At 44.8% G+C, this 22,695-nt stretch overlaps 1 long non-coding RNA gene and 1 other non-coding gene across 8 annotated transcripts in view, besides 2 other annotated features; both read right to left on the reverse strand.

Moving 5' to 3' along the window:
• The window catches only part of MIR4435-2HG (MIR4435-2 host gene), a 299,296-nt gene that overhangs the window by 121,675 nt on the left and 154,926 nt on the right, over window positions 1-22,695 (reverse strand). The gene's annotated exons all lie outside the window — the stretch shown is intronic.
• Window positions 2,346-2,982: an enhancer, noted in NCBI's record as "OCT4-NANOG-H3K27ac-H3K4me1 hESC enhancer chr2:112077463-112078099 (GRCh37/hg19 assembly coordinates)". NCBI's record gives its function as "activates a minimal SCP1, AML or CMV promoter by ChIP-STARR-seq in naive and primed H9 embryonic stem cells {active_cell/tissue: H9 hESC(naive and primed)}" and the evidence as "EXISTENCE:reporter gene assay evidence [ECO:0000049][PMID:30033119]".
• Window positions 2,983-3,618: an enhancer, noted in NCBI's record as "OCT4-NANOG-H3K27ac-H3K4me1 hESC enhancer chr2:112078100-112078735 (GRCh37/hg19 assembly coordinates)". NCBI's record gives its function as "activates a minimal SCP1, AML or CMV promoter by ChIP-STARR-seq in naive H9 embryonic stem cells {active_cell/tissue: H9 hESC(naive)}" and the evidence as "EXISTENCE:reporter gene assay evidence [ECO:0000049][PMID:30033119]".
• On the reverse strand, window positions 3,473-3,546 carry MIR4435-2 (microRNA 4435-2). The gene has a single exon (NR_039636.1). It is a non-coding gene; the product is annotated as a microRNA 4435-2 (primary transcript).

Here is a 22,695-nt window from a genome sequence, read left to right on the forward strand (position 1 = left end):
CTTCTCTCCCTCTTCTGATTGCGAGCCTGGCCGGACCCTTGCCTGGGTAAATACACATGCTCTACCCTCACCTGCCCCCGACATCCCACCCACCTGCCCTTCTCTGCCCCCTGGGCCTGCCCCATCCCTTGGCTTCCTGCCCTGCCTTTGACCTGGCACCAGCACAATGTGCGGGTTGCTGAGACCAGGAACAGGTTCATGCCAGGAGAGTCGTTTCCTGACCCAACGATCAGCTGCATGAGAAGGGGTGACATCATCGAACTTCCACGGTCACTCTGCCCCAGAGCCCCTGCATGCATCTGCCCTGGGGAAGCACGGCCCCCAACAACTGATATACCACGCCCCAGCAGTCTCCCGGCCTCAGGAGGACCTGCGGTCAAAGCCGCCAAAACTGTGAGAGTAGCACAGCAGAGCTGCCTCGATTTGTGGGAATGCAAAGGGAGCCTGGGCTGCTCTGCCAAAGCCAAAACCGCACTGATTTTCTACCAGGCACCAGCTACTCCGAATGCACAAACACACCCTCCACTTCCCGGAGAGGAGACATCTATGAAGCCTGTGTGGGCCCTGCCCGCTGATGCCCAGGGCAGTGGGATTTGGTTTTTTGTCCAGGAAAGGCATGGATATAAATCATGGCTGATGGGGTCGGTGGCTGTGTGTTGGTTTTTGGGCTGCCCCACATCCACCCCTGCCTATTGGCCCCAGTTTCCTTTTGGGGATGAGTTTTCCCCCACTGTGTTTGGTGTGGGTGGGAGAATAATCTTAGGTGCCTGGCCTCCACCGTGGAAGTCTAGGAAGTGAAATCCTGTCTCTCCCTGCCTGTGGTCACACAGGGTAGGGTAGGTGACCTAACCCTAGCTCACAGGCCCTCACCGAAGAGGTGGCATCTGCAATGAGTGAGACAGGGACAGAGGATCAGCAGGTCCAGCTGGGACCCTGGACTGATGGCCTCTGCCATAAGACAGGGTTGTGCTTCCTGCCTTCCCAGGACAAATTCCCTGAGCCCCTCATTACCTTCCAGTTTGCTCCGTTGAGCGGGCTGGAGCCTCTTTCTCATGATGATAGAATCCTAACTGATACTGCAAGGGGATACTGTCTAGCCTTCAGTAAGCCACTGTAAGCCCCCCAGGGTCCCTGACAGTGGCCTGGGTATAGTGTCATGGGGACAACAAAGAGAAGCACAGGCCTTCAAGCAGGTGAAATCGTGTGTTTTTTTTTTTCTTTTCGTTTTCTCTTTCTTTTTTTAAAAAAGAGATGGGGTCTTGCTTTGTTGCCCCGGCTGGAGTGTAGTGGTAGGATCATAGCTCACTGCAGCCTCCATCTCCTGGGCTCAAGAGATCCTCCTGCCTAGCCTCTGGAATATCTGGGACTACAGGTGTGTGTCACCACACTGATCTTTTGTTTGTTTGTTTGTTTGTTTCATTTTTTGTAGAGATGGAGTCTGCCATGTTGCCCAGGCTAGTCTCAAACTCCTGGTCTGAAGCCATCCTACCGCCTGGCCTCCGAAAGTGCTGGGATTACAGGTGTGAGTGCCGTTCCTGGCTGGTGTGTTTCTTCTGGAGAGGAGTCATTTGCTAATATCTGTATCTGCTGCCTCTCTCTTTTGGCAGAGCCTCTGTCTGTGTATGCATGACAGAGTTTTTCCTCTCTTACCAGTAAATTAGCAGAATATAGTTTCCTTTGCTGTTGTCATTCCTCTAAATGGGTGAGTATTTTATGTCTGAGGGACCTTCCCCGCCTGGGAGACAACTGATTCTCCAAAGCACACTAGTGGCCAGCAGCTCTGAGTGTGCCACAAATGCACGTGCCTGTTCCATTTGTACAAGGAGGATTTGCAATCACTGCATCTGCTGGCCTGCCCAGGACAGAGCCCTGTGGAACCTGGGTGCTCACCCTCACCCTGCTCACAGGGATCCCCCGGATGCCCTGGTGGCTCAGGCAAGAGCCCTCTAGTCCAGAATCCTGTCATTCATCCTGGTGAGGAATGAAGCTCTGGGGCAGTCGGGGCCTATAAAGGCAGTGGCTCCTCCTCCCACCATGTTCTTAGTGACCTACAATGAGAGGAAAATCCATAAATGCCCCTAACCCAGTTATTTTAAGTATACAATGCAGTGGCATTAAGTACATTCACAATGTTGTACAACCAGCACCACTATTTCCAAAACGTTTTTCATCACCTCAAACTGAAACTCCGTACCTGTTAACCAATAACTCCCCATTCTCCCCTCTCCCCAGCCCCTGGCAACCTCGATTCTAGTTTCTGTCTCAATCAGTTTGACTAATCTAGGTACCTTATATACGTGTTTTTATACAATATTCGTCCTTTTGTACCTGGCTTATTTCACTTAGCATGTTTTCAAGGTTCATCCACGTTGTAGCATATATAAGAACTTGATTCCTTTTTATGGCTGAATAGTATTCCATTGTGTGTACATACCACATTTTGTTTATCTGCCAACAGAAACTTGGGTTGTTTACACTTTTTTTAAGCTATTGTGAATAATGCTGCAATAAATATTGGTATACTAGTCTCTATTGGAGTCCTTGCTTTCAATTCTTTGGGGTACAAACATAAAAATGGAATTGCTGGGTCATATGCTAATTCTCTATTCAACTTTTTAAGGAAACATTAAACTGTTTTCCAAAACAGCTGTATCATTTTCCATTCTCAACGGCAATGTCTGAAGTTTCCAACTTTTCCACATCCTCATCCACACTGATTACCTTCTTTTTTGTTTGTTTGTTTGTATTGTCGCCATCCTAATGGGAGTCAAGTAGAGTCTCATTGTGGTTTTGATTTGCCTGTCCCTAATGACCAATGATGCTGAGCATCTTTTCATGTGTTTATTAGCCAGCTGTTTATCTCTAACTGCTCCTGATACTCCTGCGTGTGTATTCAAAGATAAGCTGTGCCTGAATGTCCTTTCTCACACTCAACTTCTAATTGCAACAAAGCTCAAACTCCTGCTGCTCGCAGCCCTGCTTTGAGATGCACCTGGGATGACTTAACCCTTTGGCTGCTTTCAAAGTGGGTGAAAGGTATCCTAGTAGAGCAGGGTTATGGAAAGTCCTGAGAACAGGCACTAACATTCAGTTAGTTTCTTGGCAGAGACTTCCTTTTTTGCACTATCACAAATAACGAGGGTGCTTGTGGCAGAAGGAACTTCAGACTCATGCCTGGTGCCACGCAGCACCTGCATGGAGAAGGGTCTCCTGTGGGCAGAGGAAAGCCCCAGACAGGGCACAGGTGCTGGCCAGTGGCTCAAGAGGGTGCAGCTGCCTCGGCCTTTTCCAGACCAGCCTTGACCCCTGCCCGCCCAGAGAAACAACTGTTCCCATTTTGACCAACTTGCTTGGAGACACCTGACCAGCAGCCTACCACCAAAATCACACAATAACCATGGCATCGTGTTTCTCGCGGACAGATGCTGAGACGCAGCCAGCCACCCTTTGGTTTTTAGTGCTCTTCCCTGATAGCATCTGTTGGCCTGCTGAGTCACACTGCAGGTGAAGTGCACTCATCCCTCTGTGTGAGCTCTGGCCATTTGCTGCCTGTGGTTCCCCCATGAGTCAGTGGCATTGGGCCTTACTCTGAGGAGATGTAATGGAGGGACATGGAGGTCACAGGGCATGTGCTGAGAGGAGAGTTTGCAATTCTTGAAGAGTTTATTTTGAATAAGCTGAGTCATGATTACTTCAAGGACTAGGCTCAGCTGTAGACACCAACTGCAAAGCCAAAGCCTGGGGCATTTTGTCTGGTGAAACTCTGAAAGTTTCCATAAGATATTATTTTGAGTAGAACTAGATAACTTTTTTCCTGATGAAACATGCAATTTTCTATAAAACCTTTAAAAATCAAAACGTAAAAGAATTAATGCCTTACTCATTCCAAAGTAACAAAGAGTGTCTCATATATTTAAACATTCAAATCAACTTCCAAATTCAGTCTGCTATAAATTCAGTACAGAAATGGGGAGGATGTAGAAGAATGAGGAAGACCCAGGGAGAGGGAATTCACAATTCACTCAAAATGCAATCAAGGTGGCTATTCTTTTAAACATTTACAACAGCTTTGACACTTCTTCTTTGGTTTTTGGATAGAGCGTCTTCTTGAAATCTCTGAGTCAAAGTTGATATCTTTTAAGACGCTCTTCTGTTCCCCAAAGTGTCTTTGCTTTTTCAGGGATAGGCTGGTGGTTCCTCTTGGGTGTCCTCAGCCATGCCAAGTCCTCCTGGGACCCGGGAGGCTGGGTTGTCCTGTCCTGGTGGGAGTGAAGGACCGTGGTTGGGTGAAGTCTTGGTGGAGGCAGCTGCCTAGCTCTCCTGTGCTCTCCTCTGGTGGAGTGGGGAGACTTGCTGCTCTGTAGATATGAGCTCGGGGAGGAATGAGGGCTGAGCTCCCTCCACAGCCACCCAGTGTCTCAGCAGGAGGGCCCCACTTGGAGATGCCAAGACCCTCCCAGTGGGTTCTCTCCTAGCACAGCAAGGGAGAGCTGCACCAGCAGGTGGAGAAGTTGGGGAACAGATAAGCAGCAGCCTCTCAGCCAGGTGGACACCTCAGCGTGGGAGCCTCAAGCAGCCTTGAGGGCAGTGGCGGAGAGGAAGGACCTCCTCCCCTCACTGTCCACAGCATGGCCCTCCACCCTCTGTCTCCCTTGGTCTGTTGATATCTCTCTTTTCTCCTCCCTGCAAGCTCTTATGACTATGTTACATGTGTGGTTGGTTTGTTGGAAGGACAAGAGAAGGAGCAGGAGTTAGAATCATCTGTGGCACCCACCAGTCTCACCTCCACCCAGGTCTATCTTCCCAGCAAAACACTACATGGTCCCCTGTATGGAAAACTTCCCCAATACTCTCTCACCTCCCTGCACTCTGCCAATCTGTCATCTTAACTTTGAACAGCCCTAGACGGCCATCGTCATGAAACTCAGCTCCCAAGCCTTGCCACTTGAACAGCTTTCCACATCTCCCCACAGAGTCCTCTAAGATAAAAACCAATAGCCCTGGGAGGTATCATTTTTTATTTTACAGGGCCCCATGCAATGGCATGAAGCCAGACAGCAGAATAAAAGCGGAATTCCTCCTCACAGCCTTGGCCTTGCCTCCTTTACCTTCTGCCTTGCCCTCTGTCCTCCCAGCTTTCCATGTCTTTCTTCCTCCATTTCCCTTTCCTCCTTTCCTTCCTTCCTACCTGTCCATTCTCCCTTCCCATTTTTTTTCTTTCCTCCATGCACCAGTTTTCCAGCCTTGTTCCACCCTAGGACCCTGGGCCTGAAGAGGCTGGAGCTGCAGTCCTGACGCTTCTTCCTCCCAGAGCCCCAGGGATGTGTTCCTACCTTTGGTGGACCCCTCACCACCTATGCCAAGCATTAAAATCTCCCTCCTTCAGCCAGTCTAGGCCGGAGAGCGCGCCTGAATCTTCCTGCCTCCCCTCTTCACGTGTGTCCCTAAGGATAGGCTTGTGCCCTGTCTATGAGGCGGACATAGTTGACAATGAACTGACAGTGGTAGTCCCCAGCCTCCACTTGTAATACCTGGGGACATCTCCCCAACTCCCCCCATCATTCTCCCGTCATATCCCCCCAGAGGATGCGCAACATCCTCTGGCCAAGGATACAGCTCATTCTACCTGGAGCCCCTTGGACCAGCACAGCTGCCTGGGCCCCTCCCCTGCATCACTGGAATGCCCGAGGCCGCCAGACGAGGTGGCCTCCTTCCTAACGCAAGGATGTTCCCCTGGGGTGTTCTGTCACATAAATTCTTCCAAGAATTTATTTCCAGAAAAAATTAAATTCCCCAAAGAATTGGTATATTTTCTTTTATTAGACAATAAGAGCTGCACACCACAGCGCTTGCCTTTTCTTTTTGCTTTTCTTTCCAGGGCTGTGTTAGTGCTGATTATGGATGTATTCATCAGCTCTCTTTTCTGTTCTTTCTCTTTCTGCTGCCATTTGTCCAGTTTATTCTTGGGTGTGTGTGCATGTGTACTTATGGAGAGCTCAGTTCAAGTAACTTTGTGGGAAGGCTGGCCGGGCCGGCTTCTGTGGTCTTGATGCACCGCCCTTGTCCTTCCTCCCACCTCTCCTGGCATTCACACCTGCTTCAGAGTCCCCTCCACACATTCAATTTGGGGTCCTCTACCCCTACTTCGGCCCATGTGATCACCAAGTGGTCCAGAGCAGTCCTTGGACCTGTCCACCCCATGAAATGGGAGCTTTCCAAAAAGAAAGAAATCACCTTACATGGTAGATCAGGCCTGAATGCCTGCAGAGCCTCCTGGCTAAAGGACCAAGTTTCTACCTCCTTCCCATCAGCTCCCATCTCTCAAGGGACTGAGTTTCTACTCTCCTTTCCCTCAGTCCCCATCTTTCCCCACTCTGTCACAAAGGAGGGAAGAGAAGAAGATGGAATTTTGGTTTCACAGGTGAAGGAAGGGGATCTTGGTAATGAGGGAGGTTGGAAATTGTCAAATCAGCATCCATGAGCACAGCCACCCCAGAGGAAGTTCTTGGTCTATCCTTGCACAGGTCTTCAGCCCAGTGGGTGGAGGTGTAGTTTGCAATGAATGATGACAGATTCCCCTTGCCAGACCCTGGAACCAAAGGTTTGGAGGGCCTTCTCAACAGGCCCTCCATAAACAAGACAGAAACTTGCAGTTAGCGGGGAATTATTTCTTTGAGTGGCAGCTCAGCTTTTTGCAAAGTCCCACCACAGATCAAAGGGCTCTTTTTGCCTGGGGGAGAAAAGCTGCTTTCTATAAGCTTTTAATATTCAGCAGGGCTTCATAGAGTTACAATCGAAGCTTCATCTTAAATGACAACTTGTGTCTGGACATCAAAATTACCCCATCTTGGCCGGGCGACGTGGCTCACGCCTGTAATCCCAGCACTTTGGGAGGCCGAGGCAGGTGGATCACCTGAGGTCAGGAGTTCAGGACCAGCCTGGCCAACACAGTGAAACCCCATCTCTACTAAAAATGCAAAAAATAGCCAGGTGTGGTGGCACGCCCCTGTAATCCTGGCTACTTCGGAGGCTGAGGTGGGAGAATTGCTTGAACCCGGGAGGCGGAAGTTGCAGTGAACTGAGATCGCACCACTGCACTCTAGCCTGGGTGACAGAGCAAGACCCCTTCTCAAAAAAAAAAAAAAAATTCACCCCATCTTTTCTTATCTGTGCGCATACTTTAAGGAAAATAGAGATGTATAAGTCATTTTGAAGTAAGCTTAAGTATGGTGTTGGAGTCACTAACAGAGCCAGAAAAGTGTTTCAAATAAAGTACAAAGTTTATGATGTGAGCCTGTGACCTCCACTACCTTACTCAAATACAAGAGTGGACAGATATCAAGCACGGGTCCTCCAGACCTCAAGCTGTTCTCATTGGTTTGTTGGGTAAGAGGGTCAGTTGGGTGAAGAGTCATCCTTGAATTCTAGACTTGGCACCGACTCCACTCATGGGATTAAAGCCTGCATTGTCTATAGCCCTGAGCGCCTGCCATGCACCTGCCAACTAGCCCACTGTTGGCTACGTGGAAGGACAAGGATTGGTGTCTGGTCACCAACTGGGCCAGCATTTGTAATGGCCTTATAAACATGGGTGTGAGGTTTGTGCACACCCCCTGAGTACTGGCTACCTTTGCCAGGCTCCAGTGGTGTACCCCCTCAGTGACAGGAGAGGTTTAAAAGGTGGGGAGGGCAGTCCAATCAAGTGTGGGTCCCTGTATGACATCACCCAACCCAAGAGAGGACTTGAAGCACAAGAGGTGTGGTGAGAATTGGCTCATGCTCCTTCCTTTGTTGATCTGCCTTTCCAGGGACACTTCCACCCCAAATCAAGAACAGAGTTTAGGATGAGGCTCACCTCTTTTGGCACAGCCTCTGCCCTGACACCCTTACCCTTTGGCCCCTGCTCTGAGGTTCTTTCAGATCTTTGCAGAGACCAGGCTCTCTCTTGCTCCAGCCCTTCGCTCAAACTGGGACTCAATGCCCTCTACCCTGGCCTGTCTGCTCCTTTCATCCTTCCAATCCCAGCCTGGGAGGCTTCTGTCATCCCTTCAAGAGTGGGTTAGGGCCTCCAAGCCTCCCCTACCATCCATGCCATCCCTGCATTGGGTACTGGTCTTGTGGGTCTTCCCCTAGGCAGGAACCAAGTCAGCCTGAACCACTGATACATCCTGAGTGCCCCTCACTGAACTGGGCAAATAGCAGACTCTTAAAAATGCTCAAAGCATGAAAAACCCCCTGGACTCGCTGAATGTGAGCGTCCAACTGAATAGAATCAGTAGGAGCTCACTTCGGAGCAGCTAGCAGGAAGAGAGCCACACCCGATGCATTGTGGTTCCTTCAAACCCAGCAAGCTGGTCAGTGCTAACCCTTGGGACACTTTTGGGAGCTGCGGAGAGATCTGATTCTGTGGAGCAGTTGAGGTTTCAGGTAAACTATAACCACATGAATAGAATGTGATGGGCTTGTTCATTTTTCAGGGTTAGAGTTGCCTAGGCCAGAATATCCAGGAGCCTCCTGTCTCTGCACTGTGCACAATGCAAGAACATCCGGGCAGCCCTACTCTGGAATCTCCACAAGGGCAGAGACCCATAGGATTTATTCCCACTGGTTCCCAGCCCCCAGTACAGTGCCTGACCTACAGGAGTTGCTCAGCAATTGTTGGTTGAATGATTGAAGGGAGAAAAAAATGAGTGATAGGGTTTGGATTTGCGTCCCCACCAAATCTCTTGTCAAACCGTAGTCCCTAGTGTTGGAGGTGGGGCCTGGTGGGAGGTGGTTGGATCATGGGGGTGGATTTCTCATGAATAGTTTAGCACTACCCTCTTGGTGTTGTTCTCATGGTACTGAGTTCTCTCAAGATCTGGTCTTTAAAAGTGTGAAGCATCTCCCCTCTCACTCTCTCTTGCTCCTGCTCCTGCTATGTAAGACACCTGTTCCCCCTTGCTTTCTGCCATGATTGGAAGCTTTCTGAGGCCTCCCCAGAAGCAGAATCCACTACGCTTGCTCTACAGCCTGCAGAACCGTGAGCCAAGTAAACCTCTTTTCTTTGTAAATGACCCAGTCTCAGGTATTTCTTTATAGCAGTGCAAGAATGGACTAATACAATGAGTTTATGGACAGAAAAATTCTTTCTTAGAGAAACAGATAATGTAGCTCCAGCTGAGTCTGGAGACTTTCCCAGTTAAATTGGAAAACCCTGTCTTTAATATATTTACAGGTGATGTTCCACTTTCAGGACTTACTCTCCCACATGAGCACATGGAAATCCTGAAGACGATCTTCACTTAAATGCTCATGATGATGAGAAAGGGACCATAAGATAGATACCACCCAGCAATGAGAACGAGTTACGTCCACAGGTAGCAACAGGATAGAGCTCAATAACATGGAGAGAAGAAAGCAAATTGCAGAACAACTCCTTTTACATCAGCATATAAAACCCAACACATGATACCCTATATTGCTTTTAGATAAATGTATAGAATTCTAAACACCTGGACAGGAAATTCTATACCCAACTCAGGGTGGTGAGATGAGGCTGAGGACCCACGATGGGTGGGGATGAGAGAGGACTGTGGGAATCAAGCTGCAGTCAAAACAAGATCTGAAGCCAATAGAGTAAAATGTTCTCTACTGAATGTTAAAGGTTGTCCCTATTAAGTGCATTTGTTATATTACTCTCTAGAGTTTTTTGCATATTTGAAAGTTCTATAATATTTTCAAAGAAATAATTTTCTCAGATTATCGTAATAATTTAGAAACCAGCGGTTACTTTACTTAGCATTTGCTATAGAACCTACCAGAGTTATTTTATTTAAATAGTATAAAAATTGACCTTGCGAACAAGAATTCTTCTTTGAATTGAATTCTCCCAGTTTCCTAATTATTCAATTCAGCCTCTTTTGCACCAGTCTGCCCATTAACCAATGCAAATCCTTAAGGGACCATCTCAGGCTCCCCTGCCGTGAATACCCCATTGCTCCCTCCCTTTTCCTCAGCTCACCTTATCCTCCTGCTCAGCCTTCCTCAGATATCTGGGGGCCGCCATGCCCCTCTCCAAAGAGGTCAAGCGAGTTTTCAATGATAGCAAGCAAAACGTCTACGCACTAGAAGCAGTGGTGCTCAAACTTCCACATGCATCAGAGTCTTCTGGGGCTTGTGAAAACAGATTTCTGGACCCCACCCCCAGTGTTTCTGATTCAGTTGGTCTGGGATGGAGCCTGAGAATTTGTGTTTCTAATAAGTCTCAGGTGATGCTGATACTACCAGTCCAGGGGACACACTGATAAACGGTGGGTTGGAGAAGGTTGGAATGTCATGCCTCTGCATATTGTGTGCTGCATGTGCTGTGAAAGAATGGCACGCTTCTGTGAGCCTGGTCTGTCCTTCCTGGTGCCCTCTGCCCTGACATTTCATCATCACGACAATATCTGGCATTGATCTTTGTTTTAGTCCCTCTCCGCAGAGAACAGATTTAATCACATATATTTCCATTTGGTCTGGACCAAGTCAACTTTTGGCCAGAAGAGAACATCCAAAATTAAATAAACATTATTGTGTGAAGAATGAAGAGGGAGATGAAGAGAAAGTCAAAGGGCCCAAGAAATTAGAAATGAAAGCAGGAAGAAAGATGCAAGGCAAGAGGGAACATGGAGAAATAAGAAAGTTGATACTTTCCATTCCCACTGACGCAAGAGGCCCCCAGGACCAGCAGACAAAGAACAGAGGGACTGTCTGTCATTCCTGTGTGGAATAATCGTCTCTAGCCAGAAAACAAACAAACAAAATCAGTGTCTGAGAAGGATAATTGACAGGCAGGAGTTCTCCATCCTGGAAACTCTTTAACACAGAGTTTTGTTGTCATCATCTCTTGTGGGGGCTTTGGATGTCTTCAAGTCCTGTCCACACAACTCTGGAGGCACACGGTCCCTATGGGAGGGGACTTCCCTGGCAGAGTCTGTGTCCAGACACATGTGGGAGCTGGTACAGAAGGGAAATAGACAGCTTCCCATTTTTAGGGGCTTGGGGCTTAAACACATTTGTTCTTGAGTCAGGCGAGAAATCAGCAGCAAACAAGACAAGGGTGGGAAGGAGAGGTGGTGGTGGTAAAGAGAGCGCTTCGGCTTTCATAGATGGAATTTAAGGCAGAAACCATATGCCTGAATTTCCAACCCTTCCAGTGCTTGGGAATCGCCTGGGCCTCACTCCCACAGATCGTGATGTATTGGTCTGGACTGGAGCCTACTCGGCAAAACTGTTCCTGACTGATGCCACAGGGCAGGTTTGAGTCTCACTGATCTAGAATAGAGCCCAGCCATCATCCTGCAGCTACAAGAGAGGAAACTGAGTCTCAGAGGGATTAAGCAACTTGCCTAAGGTCACATACAAGGGAAGAGCAGAAGGAAGGTGAGAACTCAGATCTCCTGACAACTATCTCAAGTGGAGAGAAAATAAGTTTTGGATGAGTTTAAGGTTAAAACTAGTTGGCCATTTTCCCCACATCAGCATCCAGAGGGAGGATTTCCCCTGATGAGCATCCAGTGGAAGGAACCCCAGGACAAGACAGGAATAGACTCCAGGTCTCATGCTTGCATTTCTCAGTGGGGTTCTGTCCACACACTGCTGAAATGAGTCTGAAATGGTCCTGTCCTGCCTGCTATCTCCTGGGAGGCCTGATGCCTGCAGGCTGTCCCTGCAGGCAGTGACACCTGTGTTTGGCCTGTGTGGTTGTCCCCATGACATGGGCTTCCTCTCTCTTGGTATCTACTCCTAGGAAAGAACTTGCCCCTTCAGAGGGTGGCACAGCAAGTTTGGAATATGGTATCCACAGATGAGGAAATGAATCAGCAACAGGAAAATATTTCAGGGCAACTGCAGCTTACTAAGTGTTCACTCTGCCAGGCATTGAGCCTCTGGCGTAGTAGGATCCCAGGACATGTCATGAAACTCCCAGGTAGGTGGCAGCCCATCTGACAGTTTTGAGAACGAGTCAGTACCTGCACCGCGTGGGGAGGGAATGCAGCAGAGCAGGGAGACAGGAGCTAGCAGGCCAGGCCTCTCTTGCATCTGATATGTTGAGAAAATGAAGCCAGAACTGGACCAGAGCAGCCTGGGATAACATCCAAGATGTCAGGGATGAGGCAGAAATTCCAGGGCAGGAGGCCCCATGACCTCCATTTTGCAGGATAACCTCACCCTCCAGAAAAAAGAAAAATGAGATGACCTGCTACCTTGCCAGGCTGATGCCCAGTGGCATCCTACAGCCCACTGTGAGCTGTCCCCAACACTGGAAAGGAAAGGAGGCTGTGACGGATGAGTGGCCAGCTGGCTCAGGCCTTAGTTTTCTCATCTATACAAGGGGCTGTGTGTTGCAAGGATTCAACGAGATAGCCCAGGTCAAGCTCTTGGCAGGGGGCACAGTCTTTTCTAAGTGCTGCAGAGACATTAGCTATTGCCATTGTTGCTAGTATTCTTATGAGAGTCTAAAAATTGCTTTTTCTTCTTAGTCTCTTAAAATAGAATCACACTAAATTCTAGAAGCAAAAGCAGAAATAGAGCTGATGTCATCCAATTATAAGCCTGAAAAGTCACTTTCATTAAAATGCAGCATTAACATCAACCCTAGAAGGGCTTCTCCTCCACAACCAGAAGGAATTGATTTGCCCAATCCTTGCCTTTCAGGTACTTCACTGGTTCCACAAGAGGCTTCACAGAAGAGCCCTCAAGATCTCCTACTAAGAAAACCATCTACTCTGTTTTATCAGGACTAAGTGACCGACATCCACTAACGTGTGTCCCTCCAACACTTCCTACATGTTAGTGTAGAGAGTGACAGGAGGAGCTTTCCTGCCCATTCATTTATCTGCTCATTTATTCATTGATTCATTCATCAGTTGGCTACTGAATACCCACCCCATGGCAGGCACAGTTTCAGGTGCAACGTTGAGACAGAGCACGGAGTTGGCAGGGCAGAGACAGAGGCAGGCTATGGACCAGAAGCCATCAGAAGCACTCCTAACAAAAATTAAGCAGGGTGAAGAACAAAGAGCACCTGAGTGGTCTAGGATGATCATGACCTTTGGGAATGTGGCAGCTGAGACCTGAGCGTCGGAGGGTCCAGGCTCTCAGGACCTCTAGTCAAACACTCCAGGCAGAGACAAATGCTCTGAGGCAGGTACCTGTGCCCCTTGCTAGTTAACTCTGGGTCTAAGTGGTTAACCAGGCTTAACCTTGGCAGCCTGAATAAGACTCCTCCCCTCCCACCTCTCCTGGTGGGCAGACCCTTCCTATAGCCACAAGGAGCCTTTGTCTTCAGTGACCCCTCCCCACCTGCGACACAAAGCAGAGGTGAGACTGGAGGTACTCGGACCAGACACCCCCATCTCCCAAGGATGACTGTTCTGCATTCTGGAACCATGGGCAGGGCATGGGCACTCTGTTTCCTCATCTGGAAAATGGGCATGATCCCTGCTTTACAGGATTGCTCAGAGGTTCACAGGAGATGGCAGAAAAGTCATTGTGCAAAATGTAAGCAAATATCCAAGCATGGCACATTTGAAATTGGAGTCCTCCAGGTGACTGAGTGATTTCTGTAAATTGTGTTGTCATTGTAACTTCCTTTTACATCCACATCCTTAAGTTTTCTGCCTTCTTTAAAACCTGCTTGCATGCAGCTCCCAGAATTAGCAATCACTAAGCCTAATTAGTCTTCTCCTCCCAGAGGGCTCTGCCTTTTATTTTTCCTTTTATTTTTAGTTGACACAAAATAATTGCGCATATTTATGGTGCACAGAGTGATATTTCAGTACATGCATATAATGATCAAATCAGGATAATTAGGAAATACGTCACCTAAAGATATATCATTTTTTCATGCTGAGAATATTCAAAATCTTCTCTTCCAGCTTTGTGAACATATGCAATATATTCTTGTTAACTATAGGCATACCTCTGAGATATTGCCAGTTTGGTTCCACACCACTGCAATAAAGTGAATATTGCAATAAAGTGAGTCACATAAATTTTTTGGTTTCCTAGTGACTATAAAAGTTATGCTTATACCATACTGTAGCCCATAAGCATGTAATAGCATTATGTCTAAAAAATATATACACCTGATTTAAAAATAGATTATTGCTAAAAAAAAAAAATGCTGGTGGTTTTGGTATGTTGCAGCTCTATTTTCACTTGTTTTGAGAACTTTTTTGACCTCCTTCTTAATTTCTTCATTCACCCATTGACCATTCAGGAGCACGTTGTTTAATTTCCATGGATTTGTACAGTTTTCAAAGTTCCTTTTGTCATCGATTTCTGGTTTTATTCGATTGTGGTCTGAGAACATATTTGATATGATTTCAATTATTAAAAATTTGTTGAGGCTTGTTTTGTGGCCTAACATATGGTCTATCTTAGAGAATGTTTCATGTACTGAAGAGGGAAGCATGTGATTCTGCAGCTACTGGATGAAATGTTCTGTAAATGTCTATTAGCTTCATTTAGTCTCTAGTGCAGTATAAGTCTAATGTTTCCTTGTTGATTTTCTGTCTAGATGATCTCTCCAAAGCTGAAAATTGAGTTTTAAAGTCCCAAACTATGATTGTATAAGCATCTATCTCTCTTTAGCTCTAATTATATTTTCTTTTTATATCTGGGTGCTCCAGTGTTGAGTATATGTATATTTATAATTGTTTTATCCTCTTACTCAAATGATCCCTTTATCATTATATAATTACCTCTTTTTCTCTATGTTTTATGACTTAAAATCTATTTTGTCTGCTGTAAGTATTGCTACTCCTGCACACTTTTGGGTTTTTTTTTTTTTTGCATGCAATATCTTTTTTCATCCCTTCAGTTTCTGTCTATGTGTGTCTCCACAGGTGAAATTAGTTTCTTGTAGGTAGCATAGAGTTAGGTCACTTTTAAAATCCATTCAGCCAGTCTATATCTTTTAACTGGGAAATTTAAGCCATTTAAAAAAGTTGTTATTGATAGGTGAGGTCTTATTCCTGTCATTTTAATTGTTTTCTGATAATTTTAAATAATCCTTTTTCTTCCTTCCTTTCTTCCTTCCTTTCTTTCTTTCTTTCCTTTGTTTATCTTTGCAGTTTGGTGGTTTTCTGTAATGATAACATGTGGTTCCATTCTCTTTCTTATTTGTGTGTCTGCTTTACCAATGAGTTTTATACTTTTGGGTTTTCATGATGGTGAATATAGCCCTTTTGCTTCCAGATGTAGGACTCTCTTAAGCATTTATTGTAGGGTCAGTCTAGTGATGATAAATTCCATCAGTTTTTGCTTATCTAGGAAAGACTTTATTTCTCCTTCATTTCTCAAGGATATCTGTGCTGGGTACAGTATTGTTGACTGGCTAACAGAGGACCAATTAATAAGCCAAAGAAATGGCTCTTTAACAATGAACATTTCTGCCATCAACTGACAGATCCCAGGAATAAATGTTTTCCAGTGAGGAGACTTCTCTGGTTTTCAGAACACCTCTGGCTGCCCCTGCCCACCCCATAGAAGGGCTATCCCTCCAGGTCAGGTTAGCATCATCACCTAGAGCCAACAAGTCAAGGAGGTGATGGTTTGCCTTTGACATCTCTACCCAGACCAGACTCCACTGAGAAGACTCTCCCTTTTTCATCACTGCCCTACCTAGTTAGTTGGTCCTGCCCTGGGGCCAGAGTTTCACTAATAGTATACTGTTAGCTCAGGCAACAGATGAACTCTGCCTCCATGCGCAAATACAAAAAGCTATCTCTGCTTCTTTTTCACTCACTTAAGATTTTGGAAGAATGGCTCCTAAAGCGGGTGATCCTCACGACTTACAGTGCCTCAGCATCACATGCTATTCATTTTGCACAGCAAAACCAGGAAGTGAATATGACTGTTATCCCTACTTCACAAGTAGAGGACACTGAGGCCCTGAGAGGTTAAGAGGTGCAGGTAAGATTTGAACCTACGGGCTGTGTGCGGTGGCTTATGCCTGTAATCCCTGCACTCTGGGAGGCCGAGGCGGGCAGATCACGAGGTCAGGAGATTGAGACCGTCCTGGCTAACACAGTGAAATCCCGTCTCTACTAAAAAATACAAAAAATTAGCCGGGCGTAGTGGCGCTGTAGTCCCAGCTACTTGGGAGGTTGAGGCAGGAGAATGGCATGAACCTGGGAGGCGGAGCTTATAGTGAGCCAAGGTCGTGCCACTGCACTCCAGCCTGGGCGACAAAGCCAGACTCCATTTAAAAAAAAAAAAAGAAAAAAAAAAGATTCGAACCTATGAGTTGTGCCTCCAGAACTCAAGATCTTTACTCTTTGCCACATCCTTCTGCAAGCCCAATCAAGGACTTGGGTGTTTTCAAGGTTTGCCCTTTCCACACAGCTGCCTCTCTCCTCCAGTCCATCCCAAATGAGGACTTCCTGTGGCCAATTTGCTACTGGGAGGAGGCAGAGACTGCCTCTTGCCGCCTCCTAGGGAAGTTTCTAGAACCTGACTTTGATAGTAGGAAGTAAAGAAGAGGAACCAAGGGAACAACAAGACCTTACTTTGTTTTCAAATCCCTGTTGTGGGGTCACTGCCAGCTGTCCTGTGGGATCTGTGTTATTACTGCTCAACTTGCAAGTTCTTTTCCCCTCCCTGGCCTCAATGTCATCCAAACAAGAGGGTTACAGTGGGTATTCTAGAAGTCCCCACCTGACTTTAACATAATTTCAGCAACCTACTACTGGGACTACGCAGAGAGGTTTTGTAAAAAATGTACAGCTCATTGTTACCTCTCACTCGGTTCATTGATAGAATTAAGGGACTGGAAAGCCCTGGACATCTCATAATGAAATAAACTAGCCCTTTGTCTTTAAGGGCTCTTTCCTTCAGTATATCTACCTTCCATGTTAGAGCCCCTTTGCTCATTTAAAAAAATGTCAGGGTTATTTTAACAAAGTAACTCAGCAAAGGCTATTTATACGTTTTCAGAATGAGAGAGAGGAAATCCCTAAATAATTCTGTCTTTAGTTCTCCATGTCAGGGTACATCGGCATGGAATTAAAAAAAAAAAAAAAAAAAACAACCAAGTCACCAGGTGAGTTGTACAGTGACAAGGAAGAGCTGAATGTGGCCTAGCCTCTCTAGTCTCCAGACAGGGTCATGGCATCAGAATAGAGCAGCTGGGAGGATCAGTACAAGAGCTGAGAGGCCTAGAGTCAGGGTAACCAAGCTCTGTAAGGTCCATGAGGTAGGTGGGCAGGCAGGTGAACAGAATGCTCTGCTGAAAGGAAGACTGACCTCTCTTTCAAAAGAAGATATCAGGGTACTTAACATAGACCATCTTTAAACAAGTAGCCCACTTACTTTCTTACTAATCTGTAATCTGTAATCAGCTCAGAATGAAAGAACAGCATTTTAGCTTCTAAAGTTTTTAAACATCATGTAAAATAGTCTTTGTGAGGCAATGAAGATGTTGCGGGTGTTTTCAACTCTGCAAACCCAAGTATGTTCTTTTCAGTAAACTCTTTACTGAAGTAAAAGATACATAGAGAAAAGCACACAAATAATAACCAGAACACACTGATGAATTTTCACAAAGGAGGCAAACCAGAGAAATCACTGACTAGGTCAAGAAGTAGGACATTGCCAACACCACAGAAGTCTCACTTGTACCCCTACCAGTCACATACCCAAAATAACTATCACCTTTGACTCCTGACCCCATTGATTAGCTTTGTCTGTTCTTGAACTTCATGTAAATGGAGTCATCAGGGTACCCTCTTGGTTTTCTGGCTTCTTTCACTGAACATGATGTTTATTACATTCATCCATGTTACTGTCTGTTGCATTAGGTCCTTTAATTTCATTGCTCAGTACATCTTATCCATTCCACTGTTGATGGAAATTTGGATTGTTTCCAGTCTTTGGTTACTATAACTAGAGAGTCATGAACATTTTTGTAGAATTTCTGGGTCATAAGATACACAAATGCTCAGCTGTAGTAGATCCTGCCAGTTTTCCAATGTGGTTATACTAATTTACACTCACACCAGCCAGAGGATGGCAGCTGTAGTTGTTGTATATTCTCTCTGGCACTTAGTATTATTAGTCTGTCATTTTGGACAACCCTGGTGGCTCTGTAGAGGTTATCTCCTTATGACTTGAATTTGCACTTCCTTGCTAGCATTTATTAGAAAATTACAAAGCCTCTTTTGTGAAGTGCTTGTTCAAATCTTTTGCCCATGTTTTCTATTGGGTTATTAATGACTCATGGAAATTCTTTAAATATTCTAGATACAAACCCTGTATTGGGTTTATGATTTGCAAATATCTTCTCTTACTCAAGGGCTTGCTTCTTCACTCTCTTAATGGTGTCTTTTGATAAACAGAAGTTCTTAGGTTTTAAAATTTTATGTATTTTATTTTTATTATTTTTGGAGTGCAGTTGTGCAAACAGGGCTCACTGCAGCCTCAAACTCCTGGACTCAAGCAATTCTTGCACCTCAGCCTCTTGAGTAGCTGGGACCACAAGGGTATGCCACCACACCTGGCTAATTTTTTAAATATTTTGTAGGGATCTTCCCTTCCTGGCCTCCCCAAGCGCTTGGAATACAGGTGTGAGCCATCGCACCCGGGCAGAAGTTCTTAGTTTTAATGAAGTCCAATTCATCAATCAGTCTTTTCCTTTGTGCTTAGTATATTTTGTATTACATTTGAAAAGATTTTACTCCAAGGTCATAAATTATTCTCTTATGTTATCTTTTAGAAGTTTTATTATTTTGCCTTTCACTTTTAGATCTACATTCTATCTGATTGATTTGTGTGTGTGGTGTGAGGTAGAGTCAAGATTCATTTTTTTTAAGTATGAAGATCCAACTGACCCTGCAACATTTATGCAAACATTATCTGTCCTATTCCAATTGCATGGCAGTATTGCTTTTGTCATAAATCAACTGACTGAATATGCGTGGTCTGTTTTCTAGTACTCTCTTTTCTGTTCCATTGGTCTATTTGTCTATGCTTGTGTGTATCTCACACTGTCTTATTTGCTAAAGCTTCAGAATAAGTCTTAACAAATGTTCTTGCTCAAGATTGTTTCAGTCCTTTAAATTTCCAAATAAAATATAAACTTTATTCCTCAAATAAAATAAACAAAATTCCACTAAAATTTGTTGTAAAATTGTACTGACTCTATAGGTCAATTTGGACAGAACTGACTATAAAAATATTGTCTTTTATTCCATGAATATATATTTTGGATTCTTTTAATGCCTCTTCACAATAATTTTATAGTTTTTAATTACATTTTATTAGATTTATTTCTCTGTATGTTGATGTTATTATACATGACATCATTTAACTTTTTAATTTTCCAATTATTTGTCACTCACCTAAAACTATTTGTTCTCTTAAGTTGATTTAGCAACTCCTCTTCCACGTGGTTAATACTACTAGTTTGTGATCAAAGTTATCATTCAAGGTAGAGCTTTTCAGTCTATTTTCTCTCTGTTATTCAGACTGGGGGATTTATATTGTTCTTTCCTCAATTTCACTGATTCTATCCTCTGTCATATCCATTCTACTATTGAGTAGAATCCAGTGATTTTTTTTAAATTTCTATTGTTATATTTTTTAATTCTATAATTTCCACTTGGTTCTTCTTTCACAATTTCTATTTCCTCACTGAGATTTTTCTATTCCTTCATTTGTTTCAAGAGAATTTGTAATTGCTTTCTGAAACATTTTTATAATGGCTGTTTTAAAGTCTGTCAGACAGTTCCACTATCTGATTCATCTCAGTGTTGGTGTCACTTGTCTTTTCTCATTTAGGTAGTTTTCCTAGTCCTTGGTATAATGTGTGTTTTTTCATTGTATTTGCACATCCTGTTTTTTATGTTAAAAGACTCTGGGTCTTTTTTTTTTTTTTTTCAGGCTATCACCTAAGGTCCTAGCCTAGTTTAGTGGGCTGTAGGTCCAGTGGCAACTTCATTTCAGAGCCTTCATACTATTATAGCCTACTGGAGCTCCCACTGGTCCTTTCTGGTGCCCCTTTCTGGGGCTGAGGGAATTTCCATGGGCTGGGCCACCTGGTGCCTCTAGATGGGCAAAAGGAGTCTCAGGCCTACGGAGACCAAGAGTGCTTCCCAAACTAGGCTGCCTGTTATGATGTGGTTCCTATTGTTGATACCACCCAGTCACCCTACATGTCTGTCAGTGGAAGTGGAGGAGAATACCAGGCTCACCAGGAAGCAGGAGGAATGAGTCTATGTTGGCTGTCTTTTGGTGCCAAGTTGGGATCAGGTAATACCAGGCCTAGGTCACCTTCTCTTGTTGGATGCGGTGATGGTAAGACATCCTACCTCTATTGTTCCTCCAGTCTTAGGGTCCCTAACTAATTCCTCTTTCTGTTTCCATCTTTCAGAGTTCTCCTTTGGTTACCTCTTGCATTATTTCTAGACTTTATAATTGCATTTAACTGAGAGGAGAGAAGACAGAAATGGATCTATGCTATTTTGTCTGGACCAGAAGTCCTTTCAAAATTATTTTGAATGAAATAATTCATGGAATACATCACTACAAAGTCAGCCTTGAATACAATTTATTGACTTAAATATAGCTAAATTATTTTAAAAATTGGTAGACTCTTAGACTCCCGTCCACCCTTGGTCTCAAAAGAGATACCTTTTCATAGACATAGAATACCCTGACATATGGAGAGCCCACCACTTCCACAGTACCATGGAATCAGGGGAATTATCCAAATAGTGGTTTCCTTGTTGTACCCTAGGCAGGGACAGTCAAGAAAACTTCATGGATCTGTAGTGTAAAGCTAGGGAGAAAGAGGAAGAGTTGCCTGTTTGAATTTCTGTAACTAGCGTATCTCCAGATAATGCATGAACAGCCAGTAAAGATGAACGCAGATTATTGATGGAAAGAACACACATGGAGAAGAGAAAAAGCAAGTCCACAGAGCTTTTTAACATACACTCCCTCACCCCTACCCCCAGCTTAGAAGGGCAGGAACCTGCTGTCCAAAACAGGAAATATAGGAAATACCAGCTGAGAAACTGTCCACTTGACGTCCATGAGCCCAGCTGCCCCTCTCACCTCACTCCTATTTTAAGTCAGTGACACACAGTCATGCTTTCCTTTTCTGCACCTGAAGGAGTGATGTCACTCCAGACTGAGTCCTTATTAGAGGTGATGATGGAGTTATTTTTAGACCTGGGAATGGTCTAAAACATTTTGCCTCAGCCTAATCATTGGATCCTTCAAGGAAATGGATATTCTGATGCACATCCCACCCGGTGTCCTATCAAATGGAACCTTAGCTCTCAGGCAACTTGTTAGTTTGAAGGCAGTGACAATGAGGCCAAGAATGACTCCTGGCTCCTCCACTCTGCCATCACAGGCTGCACCCAGAGCCTCCCACATCAGATTGTACCCACCGTGCCAGTGGAAGTGATCTCTAAGTCAAGCTATTCCTGCCCTCTCTAGCCTACTTTCTCTGGGAGGCATTAGAACACAGTCAGATCCCGAGAGTCCAGACCTGGATTCTATTGCTTTGTAAGCTAGGTCTTTGGGCAAATTACTTCTCTAGGCTTTTGTTTCCCGGTCTACATAAATGAGACGAATTCATGGTTATGTGGACTAAGTAAAAAGTTGTAGGTACAAAGTTCCCCTGGTGCTGGCAGTGGGGAGTGCTCCATAATCTCTAGCCATTGCTATTGTTATTCTCAGCGTGCTGAAAGCACTTTCATGTATGCTGTTTCACTTGATCTTTTTTAAAAGGACTGTACATGTTTTAATTAATTTAATCTTCTGTATAGTTTTATGAAGAACACACTCTTTTGACCTCATTTAACAGCTAGCCATATAACTAATAAGTGATAGAGGTAAGATTTAAAGAGAGTCTGGTTTCAGAGAACATTCTCTTGATCACTGTATACAAATATTATTCCAACCATAGTGTAGGCTCTTCTGGTCTTACCCTTCCTATGAGAGAGGGGTTATTGTCTCCATTTCATAAATGAAAGCAGTAAGAGTCAGAGCAATTCACTGAGCTGACAAGTCATAGGATCACTGAACAAGGGCTCCAGTGGCAGTGCCTGGGAGTGGCAGAACAAATAGCACAGTATCACATACAACTGCAGCAACAGCAGCAGTACCCGCAGCAAGTACAATGACACATTTACTACACACTTGCTCTCATTTAATACTCACAAGAATTATGGCCTCTGGGTTCTATCATCAACACCATTGCAGATGAGGGGACCAAAGTTCAGCTGGATCAAGGAAGGTGTTCAGGGGCATAGAGCTAGGGAGTAATGGAGTTGGGTGTCCCCCTGGTCTACCATGCCCAAGCTGTGCCTCAGCTTCTGTGCTGCCATCTCCTGCAGCACTTAAACAGAACCCCTAAGAACAACTAGCAGCACTTGCCTGATCAATGTAGCCAACAGAAGGAGGACAACCTATTTTTCATAGATTTTTTGGGGGATTTTCTATTTAAATAATCATGCTGCCTAAAAAAGGAGACAGTTTCATTTCTTATTTTCCAATGAGCATGACCTTTATTCCCTTTTCCTGCCTTATTGCAGTGGCTAGAACTTCTAGTACTGTGTTTAATAAGACTGATGAAAGTAGAAATCTTTGCCTTGTTTTGGATTGTATAAGGCAATGTATTCTGTCTTTATCATGAAATACAATGTCTGATGT

The sequence above is a fragment of the Homo sapiens genome, chromosome 2, assembly GCF_000001405.40.
Source record: "Homo sapiens chromosome 2, GRCh38.p14 Primary Assembly".
Taxonomy (NCBI): Eukaryota; Metazoa; Chordata; class Mammalia; order Primates; family Hominidae; genus Homo; species Homo sapiens.